Here is a 2,405-nt window from a genome sequence, read left to right as displayed (position 1 = left end):
TGTGCAAATTGTTTCAGGCAATAATATGGCCATTTTAACAATATTGAATCTTCCTGTCCATGAGAATGGAATGTTTTTCCATTTGTTTGTATAATCTCTGATTTCTTTAAGCAGTATTTTGTAAGTACTGTTGTAGAGATCTTTCACCTCCCTAGTTAGCTGTATTGCTATGTATTTTATTCTTTTTGTGGCTATTGTGAGAGGGATTAAGTTCCTGATTTGGTTTTCAGCTTGGACATTTTTGGTGTATAGAAATGCTACTAGTTTTGTGCGTTGATTTTGTATCCTGAAACTTTGCTGAAGCTGTTTATCAGATCTAGGAGCTTTTGGGCAGAGACTATGGGGTTTTCTGGCTATAGAATCATGTCATCTAGACACAGAAAGAGTTTGACTTTCTCTCTTCCTATTTGGATGCCTTTTTTATTTCTTTCCCTTGCCTGATTGCTCTGGATAGGACTTCCAGTACTATGTTAAATAGGAGTAGTGAGAGAGGGCATCTTTGTCTTGTGTTAGTTCTCAAGGAAGATGCTTTCATCTTTTGCCCATTCAGTATGATGTTGGCAGTGGGTTTGCCATAAATGGCTCCCATATTTTGAAGTGTGTTCCATCAATGCCTAGTTCTTTAAGGGTTTTTAACATGAAGAAATGTTGAATTTTATTGAAAGCCTTTTCTGCATCCATTGAGATGATCATGTGGGTTTTTGTCTTTAGTTCTATGTGATTAATCACATTTATTGATTATATATGTTGAACTAAACTTACATCCCAGTAATAAAGCCTATTTGATCATGATGGATTACCTTTTTAATGTGCTGCTGGATTCAGTTTGCTAGCTTTCTTTGAGGATTTTTGCATGTATGTTCATCAAGGGAATTGGCGTGAAGTTTTCCTTTTTTGTTGTATCTCCACCAGGTTTTGGTATCGGGATGGTGCTGGACTCATGGAATGCATTAGGGAGGAGACTCTTTTTCAGTTTTGTTGGAATAGTTTCAGTAGGAATGGTACCACCTTTTCTTTATACATCTAGTAGAATTCAGCAATGAATCCATTAGGTCCTAGGCTTTTTTGTTGGTAGGCATTTTTTTTTTTTTTTTTTACTGATTCAATTTTGGAACTGATTATTGGTTTGTTGAGGGATTGAATGTCTTCCTAGTTCAATCTTAGGAGATTGTGTTTCCAGGAATTTATCCATTTCTTCTAGGTCTTCTAGTTTACGTGCATAGAGGTGTTCATAGTAGTTTTGGCTTAAATTTCCCATTGTGTGTTAGAGATTTCTTTTTATTTTCATAGGGCTAGTAGAAGTCTAGCTAGCAATCTATCAATCTTATTTATTCTTTCAGAAAAAGACCCCAAACCCTGGATTTGTTGACCTTTTGTGTGGTTTTTTGAATCTCAGCGTTCATTTCAGAGGAACAAAATTTTGAAGTCTGTCAGAGGTGGAAACCAAGAAATGGCTTCCCTACTTCTTATCTCTAAAGTAGAGATGACATTAAGTTATTGTTTTAGAAGAGATAATATACATAAAGCATATTAATACAATTCCCAGCACGTATTAGAGTAACAATAACTTGCATCCAATTTCCCACTGTTAGTTGTTACCACTGTGTGCATGAGTACATTTGTGTTCATCAACATAACCATCTCATCTGAGAGTTAGCATCTCTTCATGCATTAAGATCAGAAATCTCATTCCCAGTAGAAGACTACTTTCTGAAGTGGCTTGGGCATTTACACATTCCATCATTTCTTGTATGCTTACACAACATTATTATTGCCATTTTCTTCAGGCTATGCTCTTACTACCTGAATATCAACGCATAAAAATAAAAAAGTTCTCTCAACAGATTGCTGTTTGCCCATTCTACCTCTAAAACATTTTTTCTTGACATACTATTTTCTCTATATTTTTTAACAAGATTCACAAATATTAACTGAGTGGCTATTTTTAGGCATCCATTGTGTGTGCTGATCAAAGGGTGAACAAGGCTCAGTCTCTCTGCTTTCTAGGAGTTTATTTCTTTGATGAACAACAGATAAGTAAAGAGGCAGTAATGATGATGTGCTAAGTACTGTTAAAGGTAATACAGAGAGTGCAGGAACCTAGGAACCACTTGACTCACCCTTAGAAAGTCAAGACAGATTCCACAGAGGAACAGAAACTTGAAAGCTGATTAGATGATTTGAGATCAAGGGGAAATCAGTCAGGCATATCAGAGACTATAATACTGTGTTGCAGACTCCAGGCAGAACATACGGCTTACTGAAGAAAACAGCAAGGTCAGTGCAGCTGGAGCCCATGAGGCCCAGGGATGAGAAGAGATCAGAGTAAGACACAAGAACCATCAATGCAGAAGAAATGTTCATTTTTCTAAACAACTTTCCCTTAATACTAGAGTCTTATTAAC

The 2,405-nt window shown here is 36.3% G+C and overlaps 1 annotated feature.

Annotated features, from left to right (window-relative positions):
• Positions 2,096-2,165: a silencer, noted in NCBI's record as "silent region_5407". NCBI's record gives its function as "represses an Ori minimal core promoter by ATAC-STARR-seq in GM12878 lymphoblastoid cells {active_cell/tissue: GM12878}" and the evidence as "EXISTENCE:reporter gene assay evidence [ECO:0000049][PMID:35858748]".

Source organism: Homo sapiens, chromosome 13, assembly GCF_000001405.40.
Source record: "Homo sapiens chromosome 13, GRCh38.p14 Primary Assembly".
NCBI classification, from domain to species: Eukaryota; Metazoa; Chordata; class Mammalia; order Primates; family Hominidae; genus Homo; species Homo sapiens.
This window is presented reverse-complemented; position numbering and strand designations above follow the sequence as displayed.